General features: G+C 35.9%; 1 protein-coding gene across 3 annotated transcripts in view, besides 2 other annotated features; it reads left to right on the top strand.

Moving 5' to 3' along the window:
- Positions 1-20,393, top strand: part of PPP3CA (protein phosphatase 3 catalytic subunit alpha) — a 324,109-nt gene that overhangs the window by 191,620 nt on the left and 112,096 nt on the right. The window lies entirely within an intron of this gene.
- Positions 153-654: an enhancer, noted in NCBI's record as "NANOG hESC enhancer chr4:102076410-102076911 (GRCh37/hg19 assembly coordinates)". NCBI's record gives its function as "activates a minimal SCP1, AML or CMV promoter by ChIP-STARR-seq in naive H9 embryonic stem cells {active_cell/tissue: H9 hESC(naive)}" and the evidence as "EXISTENCE:reporter gene assay evidence [ECO:0000049][PMID:30033119]".
- Positions 14,484-14,633: an enhancer, noted in NCBI's record as "active region_21748". NCBI's record gives its function as "activates an Ori minimal core promoter by ATAC-STARR-seq in GM12878 lymphoblastoid cells {active_cell/tissue: GM12878}" and the evidence as "EXISTENCE:reporter gene assay evidence [ECO:0000049][PMID:35858748]".

Here is a 20,393-nt window from a genome sequence, read left to right as displayed (position 1 = left end):
CCTTTGTTATTCGTATTCATATTATTGTAGATATTTTCTGATGAATTTGATACTCGTTCACCATTTACTTCAACACATTTCGAGTTAAAAGATATTTCCTGCTTTGAGAATAAAATTATTTCAAGTTAAAATAAAAATTAATCTAATATACCCTTAAGTAGTAATGAGGCATGTAGTTAGTGCACTGAAGTAGTTATGTGCTTCCCAAAGTGGGAACTTAAAACAAAAAGGAATCTTTTAAGCTTAACAATTCCTTATGTTAGTCATATAATTATCCCTTTTCTCAGAAGCCTGGGGCCAAATGGATCTGTTCCTAGGAGAAAGGAACTGTCTCTCCTGGCTTAACAAAGATTCAGTTTAAAGGCTAGCTACCCTCTGAGTCATACTGCTTTCTGATCTTGGAGTGCTTGCCTCTGTCCCATGAGAAAGAAAGGTGGATGAACAGCACTTGCAGGAAGGAACTTTCATCTTTCTTGAAGCCAATCCAAGGCCTCAGATGCAGAAAGAATGCCTACCTTACCTCTTCAGGGGAAAAGGGGTTTGATAAAGGTGCTCTACATAATGCGAATCTGTTTTCATTAATTCATGCATTCATCTACTCTTTTATTATGCATTCAATTCCTCAACCATTTATTGAGTATATACCTGGTGTCAAGCACTGTGCTAGCTACTGGACACGTCAAAAGGAAAGAATGAGATTTTGTCCTCTGCCTTGAGATTAAGGTAGTTTTTTTGTTTGTTTGTATGTTTTAACATACCAAGTCCAGTGAAATCTTAAAATATTTTTTATATGGCTGGGCGCGTTGGCTCACGCCCGTAATCCCAGCACTTTGGGAGGCCGAGGCGGGCAGATCATGAGGTCAAGAAATTGAGAACATCCTGGCCAACATGGTGAAACCCCGTCTCTACTAAAAATACAAAAATTAGCTGGGTGTGGTGGCAGGCACCTGTAGTCCCAGCTACTCTGAAGGCTGAGGTAGGAGAATCGCTTGAACCCAGGAGGTGGAGGTTGCAGTGAGCCGAGATTGCACCACTGCACTCCAGCTTGGGTGACAGAGTGAGACTCCATCACAAAAAAAAAAAAAAAAAAAAAAAAAATTCTGGGAGTGAATGTGTTCTGAAGCAGATTTACATTTGCTAAATTCCATGCCAGGCAGAACAAATGTAATTCAGTGCATATTTGAAATTCATAAAATGGAAGTACTTGAGTAGTTGGAGAACCTGTTATTGAGGTGAAGAAACTCAATCATAATTAGAGTCATAATGATTACACTGGGTAGAGTCTAAGCAGCAATTTCTAAAATCCAGTGACTCTCTATTATCTCTGTGACAAAATGTTGGAATTTAAATATTACTTCTGGAAGGCCAGGTAATTTTTAGATGTGTTGGAACACTTTTATTGCCCCATAGCATAGCTTTAGATTTTTTTCTTTATCCCACCCTTTCCACCAATCTGGGAAAAGAACCATTTCCAAATTCTTGTACAGAGTAAATCACGTGCTCTTTAATTGTTGGAACTAATTTTAAATTTTGATACTGTTTATAAATTTACTAGTCAGAATTCTGTTACTTGATATGTTACTTTGGGTTTGAAAATGTTTCTCTTTTTTATTCACTGGTAGAATACCTGACTTTTGGGAGAACAGCAAATATTTCATGGTGGTAAACTTGTTTTAATTAGCTAACAGGACCATTCACAGTTTTTGAAGCATTCTGGCCAAGAAGTAATTTAGAGTGGAGGATAGAACTATTTTCTTCTTGAAAACAAGAAGGCAGGCAAGCAGTGTTCATAAGGATGACATATACAAGCAAATGTGGTACTTCATAAAAAACTGAGTTGGTTCTATTGTTAAGTAGCATATTTACTCCTTTTGACTTGGAAATTTTTTTCTTTTAAAAGTGGCCATGGGCTTTATTTAATAACTTTTACCAGAGAGCAGCAGAGAAGGCCATGCATATGTCCAAATGTATTGTGCTTTTTTTTTTCTGTAGAATCCACATCCTGTACAACCAAATGTATTGTATTAAAAATGAACTGTGATAGTAACTTGGTAACATTGCAGGAAGTATGCCTGAGCACACAGTGGTTCTCTTAATGTGGTTCTGAGATTTTCATGCTGCTTGTCTTTGTTGACTTAATCCCACTAGGAAGAGGTCTTCATAAAATTCCTTTTTGCTAGGTAGATAACCTGTGGGAGCTGTTTGTTTTTTCCTAAGCAAGGAGAATACCTACTTGAGTGCTAATAGGATTCTTAGTTTGGTTTTCTAATTGGAAGCCCTAATTAAGCTCTGACAAGATCTCTTTTTGTTGATATTTTGACACCCTCTTTGTTGACGTGATTCTTTGTTCAAAGATCTTTTAGCAGCTAAACAAACAAATGTGAGGTGATGACAATAATTTTATATTCCATGTACCAAGTGTTTATACAATTCTACTTTGCCAGTAGTATATAGTATCTTCAGAAATCTTGAACTATATGTGTACTGTTGAAATGAATGTTATTAAGAAAGATGAAATAAACATAGTAATTTATTTTTTGCTGATAGTTGAACTTAGCAAGTTCTATTGTTAAGGGATGTTTATTTGGTATAATGTCATGCTTTCTTTAGGTTCCATGTTGAGAAAAGCCTGAATTCTTTTCTTTAAAATAATGCCTGCCTCATTCAGACCCACACACAGAGTTTCTGCACATACAAGTCAGTCCACTGTCCCTACACAAAACCCTTTAATAGCATCTCTTTGCCCTTTGGATAGAATCCAAACACTTTACCGTCCTACCACTTCACCCCGAATGCTCAGAGGACTGCTTTCTGCTTTCTGCTTTCTTCTCCAGCCTTCTCTTGGTCCTTTCCCCTTAATCTCCAGACTCTAGATTTACTAGATACCTAACATTTAATGGAATTTGTTAAGCTCCCCTTTGACCCAGATAAACCTTACTCACCCTTTGGGTCTCAAATTAAATGTCACTCCTATGGGAAATCTTTATCGACAGAAGTATACCATCTAATGCTTTCGCGTTTTTTTTCCTTTTCTTTTTTTTAGTGAGACTAGTACACTTAGATTTACTTTTAATCACACATTCAGTGGCCTATGTTATCTGTGATCTTTCTAGAATATATGTTTATTTCTTGCAAGGACTGTTTCTCTGCCTCTTTCTTCATTGTGTCATACTGTGCTTGCCCCATGGTAGGTTATCTTAAATATTTGCAGATTGACTGGTTGATTGGTTGATAAGGAGAAAGAGTTGTACAAGGACTTAATGGCATGATAGAGAAATCTGTTTCTAGTAAAATTTACTCAAGTTATGTTATTGCATTTTATATTATTTTCTGTCCAAAATCTGGTCTTACAACTGCCAATTTTCTTACTTTGTTAGTAGCCTATGACATTACATGATCTTACAAAGTAAAATGTCTTTATTCAGCACCTACTACATTAGAATGTGATCATTTGGACAGGGTGTACTGACAGCTTTTAGAGGTAACTCATAAAAAGAAAAATCTTTTTCAAATATCCAAAAGCATTATAGATGTATTATTTTACTTACAAACACTTCTGCTAGTTATTCTCAATTACTCTTACCTATTTCTTATCAAGTTTCATAAGGATTTATGTTAATACATCTCAACCTAGATCAAAGTACTATATGATTTTCCAAATATTAAAAGTGCATTTTTATGTCTATCTAATCATTAATCTATCCAGTCAGTGCTTTTTAACTGGAAGAATAAATTAAAAACATCTTTAATACTAAATTGTGGATATTTAGAAAGAAATTTAGAATACTACCTCTGCTTTCTTCAAATATTCGGAAAAAATTCTTAAGTTTCAAATTTGTAGCAACTCAAATCTGCACCATACTTCTAGTTATGTTGAAATAATGAGGTTTTTCTATTTTGTATTTCCAGAATAATAAAATATTTGCATATGTATAGAAAAATAGGAAACTTGGCTGGGTGCAGTGGCTCACGCCTGTAATCCCAGCACTTTGGGAGGCCAAGGCAGGCAAATCATGAGGTCAGGAGATCAAGATCATCCTGGCTAACATGGTGAAACCCCGTCTCTACTAAAAATACAAAAAATTAGCAGGGTGTGGTGGCATGCTCCTGTAGTCCCAGCTACTCGGGAGGCTGAGGCAGTAGAATTGCTTGAACCCGGAAGGCGGAGGTTGCAGTGAGCTGAGATTGCGCCACTGCACTCCAGCCTGGGCAACAGAGCAACACTCTATCTCAAAAAAAAAAAAAAAAAAAAAAGGAAACCTTGGCTTAGCTAAATTTTGGGAATATTCTTTATCTTTTCCTTTGTTGAAAAATGAAATGAGAGTAAACATTTCTTTTTTTTTTTTTTGATACAGAGTCTTGCTTTGTGACCCATGTTGGAGTGCAGTGGTGCAATCTCAGCTCACTGCAACCTCCACCTCCCGGGTTCAAGCGATTCTCTGCCTCAACCTTCAGAGTAGCTGGGACTACAGGAGTCCGCCACCACGCTCAGCTAATTTTTGTATTTTTAGTAGAGACGGTGTTTCACCATCTTGGCCAGGCTGGTTTTGAACTCCTGACCTCGTGATCCACCCACGGCCTCCCAAAGTGCTGGGATTACAGGCATGAGCCACCGTGCCCGGCCTGAGAGTAAACATTTCTATATGGAAATGAATCTGTTGAACCTCATTCAGATAAACAAATGAATATTTGGCCAGAACATTGATTATTCAACCATTATATTCAAATCTTGACTGAAGGTCCATGGTCACGGTCTGTGTGCCATTGATGAAGTAGCACTTTATAAAAAGCTGTCAATGTTAAAAGTAATGTTTAATGGCTAATGTTAAAAATGAAGTTATATGATTCTAAAGTCTTCTTATGAACTTAATTTTGAGATATTATAATTAATTTTAAATTTTGATTATACCTTTTTCTTTTCAATAGACCTTTGTGGATTACATGTAATTTATAGCATGGTAGAGTGGGCCTAGAAGAGACACACATGAAAAAGTATGGTTATGTCCCCTAAGGACTGGGACTTTAGGAGACTGAACTAATGTTTCCCCAAATAATATGTCGTATGCTGTGATAGAGTCCAAAAATTAGATGAAAATAAAGTATTATGTGAGTGCCAAGGAGGAAGCGATTAATATTAATTTGTAGAATCAGAGGATGCTCTGTAGAGCATTTAGACTTTATTTTGCTTCTATACAGCTTTATTAACTATTCTATACTGTGTATCATACATAATGCTTTATTTAGCAATGTTTTCATTTCAGTTAAAAAATACTTTGGTCCCAGTAGGTTAATGAAAATAAAAAAAGATTACAACTGTCATACCAGTCTATATCATTATATTCTAATAGTGATACCAATCATTACATAAAGTGGCTTATTCTCAAAGCAGTTTAATACATGTTCTCTCACTAGCAAAGTGAGGCAAATAGGATGTTAGCTTCATTTAATGAATGAGAAACGTGAAACTTAGAAGTGTTGTTAGTAAAGAGCAAGATCTGTTTTACCTATGTCTTCTATTGCCACACAGAGCTCTCTTCACACTGCACAATACTGCCTAGAATTCTCAAAATTTCAAAGCACAAAGAAAGCTTAAGAACTGTTAGCGGTACAAGAACAGAATTTGGAAGAATCATCAGACAATCAGACCTAAAGACCTAGGAAGAATAAACTACTAAGTATAGTATTTTGACATTTGGATTTTTAATAATGATGGGCCTATTCTGAATCTTTCAGTTTCCTCTAACGTTCTGATTATTTTATTCCTTCTATTTCAGTCTTTATATAGTGGGGTGGGTGAAAGTATGTATATTATCATTCTACTCAAAATATTAGTGTGGGTAGTGTAGGCCAGAAGTCAAAAACACAGACTATGGAGTTAGATGGCTTGATTTCAAATCCTGGCTCCACTTTGAATAGCCCTGTGACTTTGGGACCACTGTACTCTCTCTCCTAGCCTTAGTTTACTCATCTTTAAAATGGAATAACAGCTGTATGTGGGCAGTAGGATTATTGTGAAGTTTTAAATAAGGTGATCTACATAAAGACCTTACTATGTGGTTTTGCTCATTGCAGACTGTCAATAACCTAGCCATTGTTAGGATAATGATCTAATGAGATAGCTGAAATCTTGAGAGTGCTATTGATACTACCTTTGTCTGCCACTTAAGGTCTAAATTATAATTTAACAACTGTACCTAATAATTTGTGAGTGTTTGATAAATGTTTGAGGAATTAAAATATTAGGCTTGAGTTTGCACTGCTCAGTTCTCAACTGTTGGTTAGAGAAAATCATTAAGTTGAGAGACTTAATGTTGGATTTTTAGTACCTAATACTTCAGCAGTGTGTACAACACAAAGACAAAACAAACATTGCCATTGTTTTGGTTCTGATATCAAACTTATTCTAGCAAAATTTTTTAACTTAGATTAATGTTTGACTTTCACCTTTTCCTGGGGTTGAACTAATACAGGATTTGAAATGTTAATCTTTTGGTTATATAAGCTAGAGAATGAAACCAATTTCTTTTGTTATTTTCTGATTAATACATACATTGGTTTGTTAACCTGGATAATTTGTCTAAAAGTGATGTTTTCTAACACTTAGGAGAATTATGTGATAAAGCATGTGAAGGCAAAGCCAATTTGTTTAACTTGTAGCTTCTTTTAGTTACTAATGTTGCAATGCATGTGAAGAAAGATGGTGCTTTATGCATTCCAAATTCAATTTTATCTATTTTTTATCATAAGCAACTTCTTTAGAGTTTAACAGTTTATGTTACATGTGATTATAGCTTCAAATACATAATTGCAGCATTTTCAATAGCATTTTCAAAAATACTGATTCCTGAAAATAAACTTTTTGTTACTTTTTAAAATATAGGAAACTTCAACAAGACACAAATTTTAAAAAATTATCTTTATTCATTAATATGGCATGCTAGTAAAGAATGTAAGAACAATTTCTGTGATAGACTGCTTTAGAAATCAGAATATATTATGCTTTAACAATTTTTTTCCTCATTTGGAATCTGATAATAGGATATTCTGAGAGATTTGCCAGCTTTACTCTTTTTAACAAACATACAAAAGGTGTCATGGTAACATGTTTGAGAGAACCTTTGACTCTTATCTTTCACTAAAGCCTTACACTCCTTGTCCTTTCCTGGGTCTGATGGTACATTTACCATCTGAGATAAAAGACATGCTCAGGCACCAGGTCTCTTGGGATCTTAAAGCACTATCGGAATCCAAAGAGGTGGCAATCCAGCTTCTTTCTTGTTACTTTAAAATATATATGCTAATTCGATCGGGAATTCAGCTCACAAAAGTAAATTAATTATTCTGCCTTAAGAAAAGTATATCAAGAGATTAATATCTCTAAGAAATTCACTATTTGTAAGTATAAAAAATAAATTATGGTAATGTTTCTTTTCATGGCATCTAAAATTCCTGTTTAGAAAGATAAATTAGCTTTCATGATCAAGACATTAAATAAATAAACAGCCTAACTACGGCAACTGAGTTAAGTGTTTTAAATAATTCTACGTTAAAAAGTGATATTGAGAAACTAGAAAATGTCACAAATTTTAATGGGAATACTTAAATTGATATAATTATTTTAAATCATATATGTAATTTAATATTCAGATAATTCTTTAAAATCCATATTCACCCTTCTTGGCTTTACTTTATATCTAGCTCAAAGGAAACATTTTTTTTCCAAGTACATTTTAATTCAGTAAGACCAGATTTTTCAAAATATCATGACAAGACTTAGCTTTTAGTGTATTTCAGCAATAATGATAATTTCAGTGTATCCTAAGGGAAAAACTGTTATCTTATATTTTGGTTGAAAGAGTTGAAATAAACATTTTGAGAGGGAATTGTTATTGTCTACAATATGTCCTAGACCAGTGAAATTACCTGATTGTGTCTATTTTGGACAGAGACGTGGATCTTAGCCACAGTTACCTAACTGACCAGATTTTGGAGTTACTCAATTTCCCTCATAATAACTAGACACTTGTGACAGCTAGAAAAAATAATGCAGTTAACTTTAATTTTATAGTTTCTAATTTGATAAATATTAGCTATTTTACAGTATAGGCTGTTGCTAGCCACAGAGGAAAATATAGTATATGGATATGTGGTTTGAATCTACAAATCTGTGTGTGGGTATGGGTGTGTGTGTGTGTGTTTATATAGAGTGAGAATGAACTATGGATGAACAAGGAAAAAATTAGCAATTGTAGCAAATGAATTGAATGCATTACAGTTTTAAAAGAATAGCTCTTGGAGAGAATCCAGATTGGTTCAATTTCAAGTAGCAAAGGTAATAATATCTGTGAATTACCTGTATGCCAACATTCTTGTATAATATTTCAATGGGCTCAGCTTTTTCTCTTCACTGTAATAGGAACTCTGTGTCTTTTTTTAGTTAGTACCCTTTGATATTCTCAGATAAAAGGCATCCTTTTCAATTCTTTGATCATACATGACAGCAAGCCAGCAAACTCTCATTCATGACATTTTTGAAAAATACTGAGTCTTCTAATTTATTTTAAATAATTGAACAACATGGCAACCTTTTACAGTAAAAAGTATAAAGGAAATTAAGCCAGAATTTAATGGCATGCTCTAAAGAACAAGTGGGAAATTATTGGCCATAAAAGAAAAACTTTGAACTCTAAATCCATCATTTTATCAATTTTTGACAATTCACTGTATTGCCTTTAACAACAGAGTCTAATGGGAATAGCCTAGACTTCGGGACAAATCTGGGTTCAAGCCCCAGCTCTGCTACTTATTAGCTATGTGATCTGTAGCAAATTTTAACCTTTATCTGCTTTTCTCTTCTAATTTGAAAAATGAGGATAAAAACAGTACCTATCTCAGAGGAATGTTATACAAATTAAATGAGATACAGTTTAAGCATCCCTAATCCAGAGCTTGAAATGCTACAGAATTTGAAACTTTTTGAGCACTGACATGATGCTCAAAGGAAATGCTTAGGGCTGCTGAACCAATAAGTATAATGCAGATATTCCAAATCTGAAATCTAAAAAACTTCTGGTCCCAAGCATTTTGGATAAGGGATATTCAATCTGTACTGTATGTCAAGAACAGTGCCTGGTAGATAGTAAATATACAATAAAATGTGGTTCTTGGCCAGGCGTGGTGGCTCACACCTGTAATCCCAGCACTTTGGAAAGCCGAGGTGGGCAGATCACGAGGTCAGGAGTTCGAGGCCAGCCTGACCAACATGGTGAAACCCCATCTCTACTAAAAGTACAAAAATTAGCCTGGCGTGGTGGTGCGCACCTGTAGTCCAAGCTACTTGGGAGGCTGAGGCAGAAGAATTGCTTGAACCCAGGAGGCGGAGGTTGCAGTGAGCCGAGATTGTGCCACTGCACTCCAGTCTGGGCGACAGAGCGAGACTCCATTTAAAAAAAAAAAAAAGTGGTTCTTTCTCTAGTACTGGTTCTACTACTCCTAAATGTCCTAAGTCAAGTTAATTAGTTCATCCTTTATAAACATAGGATAACACTGACTTTCAGGATTGTTGCAAGAATTATGAATGACATATGAATTATCTAGCACATCCATTACCCTGTTGCCTGACACACAGAAATACTTGGTAAATGGTGGCTTTACTGCAAAGCTCCTACCTAATCTGTATTGTTCTTTGAGGTGTTTTTGGATAAAGCAGAGAATATGGATTTCAGGCTTTTAGGGACTTTTTAGAGTAGCAGAGACTCAATTACAGAAAACACATAAGCATAGGTGAGAATATTCCAACTTGCAGCATGAATAGAGAAAAACTTCATAAACTTAAACTATTCTAAATTTCGATTTCTCATACTTAGATCTGGACCAGGCTGAAGTTTACTTTGAAAATATCTGTGAATCAATGGTTTTTTGAACTAAATAAAATGTGAAACGTAGTTCAAAGGGACAAGATTAGCTTTTAACATAATATTTTTATGATTTTAAGCTCATAGGTTATGAACAAAATGCTTTTGTATTCATTAAAGCCAGAATCTTTAATTTTTAGAAATAGTTTACAGCCATGTGTCAACTTCAGTGATGTTATTTCTTTTTAAATATTCTATATTTTTCCCACTATTTACATGGATTTTCTTACATTTTAGTTAAATTCTGAGTGCTTTCCAGTAACATGTAATTATTGTTGGGTAAGAAATAATTAATTATTCTTTCTAATTATTTTTTGTAACCATTAGCCATTCCCACTTTTTCCTTACCCCCAACTACCCTTCTTAGCCTCTGGTAACCATCATTCTACTCTCTGTCTTCATGAGTTTAAATGTTTTAATTTTTAGCTTCCACAAATAAGTGAGAATATGTGATATTTGTTTTTCTGTGCCTGGCTTATTTCACTTAACATCCTGCCCTCCATTTCCATCCATGTTGTTGCAAATAACAGGATCTCATTCTTTTTTATGGCTAAATAGCACTCCCTTATGTATATGTACCATGTTTTCTTTATCCATTCATCTGTTGATGGACACTTAGGTTTGGCTATTGTAAACAGTGCTGCAATAAACATGAGAGTACAGATATCTCTTGTATATACTGATTTCCTTTCTTTTTGGCATATACCCAACAATGGGATTGTTAGATCATATGGTAACTCTATTTTTAGTTTTTTGGGGAACTTCCAAAGTGTTCTCCATAGTGGTTGTACTAATTTACATTCTCACCAACAGCAGACAAAGTTTCCTTTTAAGATTTTTTTTCCTGAAAACATTATATATAGAGCAGTGTTTTCCAAAATGTGTACATCACAGTCCATGAGAAATGAAAGCAGGTTATTGTGTCAATCTAGTATTTTTTTATTTAATGCCAAGAACTAGACTAGGAAAGAAAATACGAGTTTACTATACCAATCAAAGGGAAGTATTTCTAATTTTTGTATTTGTATTCATATATGTTTATAATGGCTTATGATGTAAAATATATTTCTAAGCTTGATTAGTGATCAAATAATTTACAAAAGCACTGCCTAAAGCACAAAACCTTGCATAAAATTTGCATTGTTCAGAGATTGTGGCATAGGAAATAAAATATGAAATAGGTTTTCTTTACCATGAACCTCAGGGAATATCTAACAGTAGATTGAAGTGGACTAAATAGAATATCATTCTTCTATTTAGCTCAGAAATGTTTGTTGATCATTTATATTTATAGGATCTAGAGTCACAGGGTTAATAAATGTAATATCTGCCCTTAGTGGTATCATAGTCTCCTAGGGGAGACAGACTGAAATCAGTCTATTATAAAAATTATGATGCATGTGTAAAGCAAGAACAATTTGCAGGGAATAACAGACTTCAAAGTGAATAACTTTGTGGGTACAGATCAAAAGGCAGTAACTTCTGATAAAGATTTTGAAGGACAAATAGCAGCTTACCGAGACCAAAAGGGGCTAGGGAAAGAGCATTCTAGGCATTCAAATGTGTCCTAAGGAGCAGAGGGATGTTTTAGCTTGATATATTTGCAATACTATTTTCCAGCTGAGGGAATGTGCCAGGAGAGAGATTGGAGAGTTTGTCAAGGAAAGTCCCCTATGCTAAGGATAAGTACTTTAAGCTTTTAGTATATACGTATATTCCAAAGGGTATTTAGTAAGGAAAAGACTTGATCCTATGTGGTATATGTTACTATTATGTTTTATTCACTTGGACATGAATCTGAAGTTAGTGCTGGAGGGAGCAAGGCTGAAGGCAGAAATTCCATCTAAACTTCATGTAATGGTCCAGACAGCGCTTGAACCAAGACAGACATAGTGGCAACAGCAGTGGTGGTAAAGATGATAGGATTTTAATAAATATTTAAGATTTGGGGTCTAAAGAAGGAGGGTGATGAGTGGAAAGAGAAATCTAGAATGATTTTCAGTTCCCTGGTTTATGTGACTGGTTTATGTGACTTGATAGATGGTGATGCCATCATCCAAGACAGGATGTGTATGTAGGCACAAGTTTGGGCAAGAAGGCAATGGATTCATTTTAAATCGGCTGAATATGAGCATTTTATGTGACACCTAAATGAAACCACCCAGTTGTAACAGCTGTTTGTAATTTCTCTGGAGTTCATTTGGGAGATCTGGTTTAGAGACACCACTCTGGAGCTATCATTGTGTAGACAGTGGTAAAATCATGCAAGTGGATGAGATTACAAAGCCAGGGATAATGCCTGCAATTAATGAAAAATCAAAGGAAGTGGGGCCACAGAGATTGAGAAAGAACAATAGTCTAGTGGAACCTGAGGAGAGGTGGACTCAAGAATACCTGCTGGGTTTGACAGTTAGGAAGTAACTGGTGCAATATGTCCATAGAAATGGAATAGAATGGCCTGGGACAAGGCCATTATGATTATAGTGAATCAAGAGTGATTAGGGAGAGTGAGGAAAAGGAAGATACTCAGGGTGGACTAGTCTTTCAGGTAGCTTGACTGAGGAGCTATATGACAGTAGCAACAGAGAATGAGAGAGACAAGGGAAAACTTTATGACCATGGAAGACATTCAAGTGTTTATAGGCAAAGGGAAAGAAACCATTTGAAAAGAAGTTAGAAATAGAAGAAAGGGAGTAAATAATTGATGATGGAGTGTGATCCTTGAGAAAATAGTCATGAGAATACTAGCAGACTGATTAGCTTTAGGTAGGAATAAAGACCTTCTGAGACCATAAGGAAAGAAAAAGTATGAAGATAGAAAGGGTGACGTGACATAGGAAGTAGAGAACCAGAAAACAGAGAATGTGGATCCCAGCCCACTTTCTCTCTTACTTGTGTGGTAGAAATTAAACTATGTGCTGAAAGTGAAGGCTAAGGAGAAACCTGGAGATGGTATAGAAACCTCCTGAAAGGGTGGCTGGGAAAGAGAACTGACCAGAGACATGGCAAAAAGTAGAGTGAGATCAGCACAGGGATTAAGGTATATAGCCAAAGAGGCCTTGCACAGTCCAGTTCCAGAAAATGCCACTCCTCACTTGAGTATTGTTGCCTCCCTGATCATTAAATATTAGCAAAAATACTGTAAAATGATGGAATCCCCAGCTGCCTTGCTGTGGAAAAATGGATTCTACAAGATGTTTACCAAGTTTGTTTCCAGTGTCTATTTTCTTACCTGAATTAATTATGACAGTTGTTTTTAAAGGTTTACTTTGTTTTAAGAAAAGAAGGGAAGCCAGGCTCAGTGGCTCACACCTCTAGGTCCCAGCTACTCAGGAGGCTGAGGTGGGAGGATCGCTTGAGCCTGAAAGTTTGAATCCAGCCTGGACAACATAGTAAAACCCTGTGTCTACAAAAAAGCTGGGGCGGGTGGGTGGAGTAGGTTGTGAGGGTTAAAGGAGGTTATGCATGTAGGGTGCATTGTATAGTGTTGGTCCCATAATTGACACTCAGTGATTGATAGATATTATCATTATTGTTGTTGCTATTCATTCTGAAAGTCTATAATGTAGCTTTGGGCTGTATTTAGCTTTCCTCTTTCTCACTGTCTCCACTACTCTGCCGATATCACGATTTTCTTATCTTTTCTGATTCACTAAGCAGCTCTTCCTTGTATGTCAAAGTCAGGTATAGACAAATAGTTATCCTATTTCCTCAAGCTCCTGGGGATGAGATTTACAGGAAGTCCAATTTAGTATTTATAAAATGCTTACTTCTGTACAGATAATTAAAATGCTATTCAGGAAGGCAAAGTCTACCGTTTCTAGTATACTTTGCTTCCATGCTAATTTTTGGTTGGTGTCTTTAATTGTATTATGTATTATTTTTATCCAAACAGATAATTTGTGGTAGACCACAATAACTTCTTCTTTTTTTTTTTTTTTTACCTTGTTTCCTCCTCTAAATGGTGTGAAATGCTTGACGATTGGAGTGCCTTTTCCTATCATCCTCCATTGACATGCTAATGTTAAGTTTTATTGTACCGCAACTAAGTGGAATCTGAGATTATATTTACCACTTTGTGTTATAAGTGTAAGTTCAGCCTTTGTATCACCCATCCTATACATTCATTCGTTCACTCAATTAAGAAACTTTTTGAGGCAGTCACTGATTAATAAGTCAGGATGCAGGAGTGAACAGTCTCCGTTCTTGGGAAGCTGTGTTCTAGTAGGGAGAGACAAAGAAACTGGTAAATTTAAAGAATACAAAATAAGTGAGGTTGTAACAAGTGCTGTGAAAGAATATTAAAGAAGAGATAGAAAGTGTCAGGTAGGAAATACAAGAGATGGGGATCAGGGAAGACCTTTCTGAGGAAATAACTCTTCAGTAGGGTACTCAATAAATAAAGAGGAGAGCAGAGGACATGTTTAAGGGGAATAATTCTGTAGGTAAAGGAAGTGCAAAGGACGTGAGGTAAGAATTGGCCTGGTATTTTTAGGAGAGCATGACCACTGTGGCCGAAGCAAAATTAATGACTAGGAGAGAGGGAAGCTGTGGTTAGAGAAGGAGTGGGGGCCATAACACAATTCAAATATGACACTGCAGGGGTTTTTTGTTTGTTTTTTTGAGATAGTGTCTCTCTCTTTTGCCCAAGTTGGCATGCAGTGGCGTGATCTGGACTCACTGCAACCTCCACCTCCTGGGTTCAAGCAATTCTCCTGCCTCAGCGTGTCAAGTAGCTGTGATTACAGGCATGAGCCACCACGCCCAGCTAATTTTTGTATTTTTAGTAGAGGCGGGGTTTCACCATTTTGGTCAGGCTGATCTCGAACTCCTGACCTCAAGTGATCCACCCACCTCGGCCTCCCAAGGTACTGGGAGCCACCATGTGTGGCCCACTGCAGGGTTTTGAGCAGAGAAATAAAACATTGGTTTTATGGTATCTTTAGATTTTAAGTATTATTTCTGTCTCCATTATGTTTTAGCCTCTTTTTTGACTCATGAGCAAGTAATCAAAATGATTCAGTATTCTATGAAATGTACTACTAGTGAAAAGTATCTCATAGATAATTTAAGCTCAAATCCCCACTAATTTACTTTATGTGGGTAGAATACTAAAAACAGATAATATTGTTTCTGTTAAATTCAATCATGTGACTCAAAGAAATGAGTGTCTGTGGATGGAGAGACAGAATCATAATTCTGTTACTGTGTACACATATTGGGAATGCTTTTGACACCTGCAGTCATTCTGCATGATAATTCTAATATCATTTCTCTTTGTCCATAACACAATGTTTATAACTTGGTCACAGATACATTTGACTTTTGCCAAAAATGACTTCAAAAAAAGGACTTTGAGTTTCTTCTTCTTAAGTAAAAATATAAACATATTAGGGCCCAATTTTTCATCTTATTCTGAATCACATAGGTAATGCATCTTACCCAGAGAAGATAATACTGATAAAGGAAAGAAGAGGGGAAAAGAAAGTGTCCTCAAGGCCTAATATTGCATGACTAATCTTCTAAGTGCTGCTGAGGAGAGCTGATCAAATCTCCCAGCACTTCCCTGTCATTACAGGGCCCAGTGTTTGCATAGGGCATGCACTGGGCTGCTGAGATCTGTGTCTTGAAAGGCCAGTATCTTGAAAATGATAATATTATTAAGTCATTAGTGCTGAATTCTGCACTCAGAACTCAGCATGGATATACACTAAAATCTAGTTTAATTTGAAGAGTAAATTGCAAAGAGAAATATAGGATGAGTTCCACTTTAAAACTGACAAATGAGTGTTTTCACAAGTAATCTCCTTTAGGAAACTGAGAGTGATGTTTGGACAATTATGAATTACCTTTTAAAAATTGCTATGTAAATTATTCATTAATAGTTTAGAGAATTTTTATGCTAATCATTCACTTCTAGTCATAATACTATTCTAGTAAAATATGAAAGTGCTATGCAGAATTAGTTGGGAAAGCAATGTAAAAGAGATAATTTGTTACCAACAGCTAAAATTGTATGGTAATGCCTTTTTGCCACATGGCTTAAAAATACCCGGAAAAAAAAAAGATTTTAAAGACTTCAGGTGAATTTAACTGTATTGTTCTATTTACTCTAGCATATCTTTTCAAGTAGTAATAGTTGTTGCAGTGGATTTACACCCCAAGCCAATAGAAAAAAGAGTTAAGGTTCTCAAAGCCTTTTATCTTTTGTGTTATTTATTGAGTAGTTACAGGACAAAAGCACACAAGCAAACCCAACAAACAGCAACAACGACAAAAAAAAAAAAAAAAAAAAACACAAAAAAAACCCTCAAAAGTCACTTTGGGTAGAAGATCCATTCCACTTTGTAAATTTATCAGGACTCTGTTCATGTTCACTCTTTCCTGGCATATACCCAAAGCACTGTTTCCACATCTGTCATATTCTTTTAGGGGTCGAATAAAGTATTTGTGAGCTCCCACAATGTACAGATGCAAGGCATAATCTGGGTACTTAGAGGACACAGAAAGGCTGTCTTTGTCTTCTGAATGTCTGCATAAATTTGTATGAACATTAGTAGGAGTTAAAAGAATCCTGGGCTTGACCCTATCACTGGTCAGCCAAAATACCTTTAATGGGTTGTCCTTTTTTTTTTTTTTTTTTTTGAGACGGAGTCTCACTCTGTCACCCAGGCTTGGAGTGCAGTGGTGGGATCTCAGCTCCCTGCAAGCTCCGCCTCCTGGGTTCACACCATTCTCCTGCCTCAGCCTCCCTAGTAGCTGGGACTACAGGTGCCTGCCACCACACCTGGCTAATTTTGTTTTTGTATTTTTAGTAGAGACGGGGTTTCACTGTGTTAGCAGGATGGTCTTGATCTCCTGACGTTGTGATCCACCTGCCTCAGCTTCCCAAAGTGCTGGGATTACAGGAGTGAGCCACCATGCCCGGCCTAGTTTCCTTAAACTGTTTACATAAATTAAAATACTTGGATTGTTTACTGTTTTATTTGAGGATTAAGGAAAATAGTATATGTGAATGTTTTCTTAAAAAGTGTTTTTCACATGTTAGGTTTTCATAATATTTTGACATTATTTATATCACTTCAATTTCATATATTTGTCATATTATAAAATTATTAACAATGAAAAGTTACAAATGTAACCTTATGCATATGTAGTATCATAGTCATAAGTTTACATCTGTGACCTTGTATGTAACCATATGTAAAATACTCATGTATTATATCAGTATACAATGAATAGTAGAGCAAGCCTAATTAGATTTCAGACAAATAAGAGTGCAGAGTGGAATGCTTTTGTTATACAGGGGAGCATCCCTAATCTGAAAATTTGAGAATTCCAAAAGGCTCCAAATTCTGAAACTTTTTGAGTACCAACATGACACTCCAAGGAAATGCTCATTGGAATATTTAAGATTTTAGATTTTTGGATTAGGGATGGATAACTTTTCAGTAGATAAATATTCTAAAACCCAAAAAATCCAAAATACAAAACACTTCTGTTCCCAAGCATTTCAGATAAGAGATAATTGACCTGTAATAATAGCTACCATTTATATAAACCTACTATGTTTCAGCTAATGTGCTCGGTGATTAAATATATCACACAATAAACCAATGAATAGATGTCTTATTTCTGTTTTAGAGATGAGAACTCTGATGTTCATTGGAGCTTAGTTACTTACCCAAAAATTATGCACTTAAGGAAAGAAAAGCCAAGATTCAAATCAGTTATGTAAATATCAAAGCTCAAGCCCATAACCATTCCAACCATTTCTCCAAAGGGATTGATGAGACAAGGCTGCAGACGTGAGAGAGAACCAGTTTGTATTGAGAGGACAGAATATGTTATGGTAGTGCCATGATGAGGAATTTAGATTTCTGTCATTTAGGCAAAAGGCAACCATTGCTTATTTCTGCCCAGATGAGTGATATGATAAAAGCAATACTTAAAGATTAGTGAGATCTTGATTTTACAGATATGGAAATACAACTGCTCGCTTGTTAGTGACCTGTTTTATATAATGCAGAATAATAAAGACAAAGTCCTTGCTGGTTTGAATTTTTTATTTTTTTGTGCATGTGTGTGGAAGGTTTTTTTTTTTTTTTGTGGACTGACAGCTGTGAGTTATAATGAGCTTCCCAAATTTATGTGTACCTACTCTCAGCCCATGGAGAGTAGTAAATTGCTCTCTTTCTTATGACACATTTAGATTAGGAGAAAACGTTGAGAGGAGGGAAGCATTGCATTGGCTAGTTAAAACTAATGTAGGATGATGATCCTGTGAAAAGAATAAAATCAGCCACAGTGAAAAGTAAAAATATCCCACAGGCAGACACCTAGACCAGAGAGAGTGGGTGCTCAGCTCTTCCAAAGGACATCAGCCTACCCTTGCTCTGGGAAGCCCTAGCCTTTGGTTTGGTTGGGTAGGGAAGGGATACTGGCATTGAGGTGCTCCACAGAGAAGCTGTGGAAATGACATGATTCCCAATAGCACACCTGGGAGAGCCTGGACAGGTTTATTTGCGTTCTCACACCGAGCATGACACCTGGGAACTGCAAACCATTCCTCAGCCACAGAGACAGCCAGCTTTGTTGTCTCTGTAATTCCTTATTTAAAGTGGTCTTTTAGTTGTATTTCAGGGCATGACTCAGTCAGATTCCCTACTACTCCCCCCATCTTGCCTTTTTAATTGCTTTGGGATGAAATAATCCTAGGTTTGGAAAGTAATTTAGCAATCTTCTACTGTAGATAATATCAGAAAATCCCCACTGTAATATGCCTGGTAACCTGTACTCCATTAAGCAAATACTTGTTGAGCCCTTCTTTTATGTAACTACAGAGGTACATATTTAAATAGACACCTCTCTTACAGTCAAGGAAAATTATACTAATCAAACAACAATATACTTTACAATTCTAAGGTGCACTTTTTTAATATTTTAGCTACTATGAAATTTGCCTGGTTCTCAAGTGGCTGTTGGTCAAACACTAGTCATGATATATTTATAGTTGTCATTGCCCGCTCATGCACGAACTCAGTTATAGCTGTTTATATTGTCTCTTTGAGTTATAAGCATTGTTGGAACCACGTATGTTGAGTTTAATTGCTATTTAATGTCTTCAAGTAACTAAATGTTATTGTTCAAAAACACACAGACAAAAGGCAGTGAGGTGCACATTAGTAATAGAAAAGAAAATATTCATTATTGATTGGATGACTGTCTGCATTTCCCAATTTTCACACAAAACAAAACCCAAATGCTTTGTAGGAAGGACTTGAGAAATAAAGATTACCATAAGCTGATGAAGCCTGTTATATTTTCTTGCCAACATACAAGCAGAAGAGCACATATCATACATCAAACAAGGAAGTCCAGCAACAAAATCCTTGTTATAATACTGGAGTGCTCCTTTAAAAACATTGCTTCATGAACACTTTTTTTTTTTTGAGGCGGAGTCTCGTTCTGTCACCCAGGCTCCAGTGCACTGGCGCGATCTTGGTTCACTGCAACCTCTGCCTCCCGGGTTCAAGCCATTCTCCTGCCTCAGCCTGCCAAGTAGCTGGGACTACAGGCACATGCCACCATGTCCAGCTAATTTTTGTATTTTTAGTAGAGACGGGGTTTCATTATGTTGGCCAGGTTGGTCTCTAACTCCTGACCTCCAGTGATCTACCCACCTCAGCCTCCCAAATTGCTGGGATTACACACCCGGCTGATGAACACATTTGATAGCACAGATGATATTTGGTGTAAAAACATGAATGATACTGATGTGAAAAATGACTGATGAGCCAAAGTCAATGGGAAGAAGATTTGGGAATATATTAATCAATGTTTCACTTATAAAGTATGATAAAGATTCTAAGTGATAGGAAAACATTTTGTTGTTTAAAAATAGATAAACTAATCATATGTCTTATAATCAGTGGTATATTGAAATATGGTAGTGACAGCCACAATGCAATATACTTTTTAATCCTCAGACAGCCCTGCAAGGTGGAATATTATTATTTCAGTTTTACATATGAGAACATTTAAATGAATAGTTCAATATATCATAGCTGATTAGTGCTAGTGCTGCCATTTGAACCAGAGTTCAAGCTGTTTACCCAAAGTAAGTTGCCATGAGTGGAGAGAATAATTAATCAGAAAGAAGAAAATGAAAGTAAAAACAGGAATAGGATAAAATAAAAATAACGACTTGGTGTTTCACACTTTGCTTAAATGTTTCTAGTGTGGGTGAGCTCATTACATCACAGTGCCAGCTATTCCATTCTGAATGGTTTTCTTGTTATAAATGAATTTTCTTTTTCTTCAGTTGAACTAAGTGGGCTTCCTTTTAACTTTCACTCATTTGCTTTTATTCTGCCCTCTGGGGGAGAGGAGGGAACCAGAGAAAATAAGTGAAAATAAGCTTGGTGCCTCATGCATGAAAGCCTCTCTGATACTTGAGCACAGGTATCATGCTGCCAT

Source organism: Homo sapiens, chromosome 4 (assembly GCF_000001405.40).
Source record: "Homo sapiens chromosome 4, GRCh38.p14 Primary Assembly".
Lineage (NCBI taxonomy): Eukaryota > Metazoa > Chordata > Mammalia > Primates > Hominidae > Homo > Homo sapiens.
The sequence above is the reverse complement of the archived record's forward strand: the minus strand, read 5'-3'. Positions and strand labels throughout refer to the sequence as shown.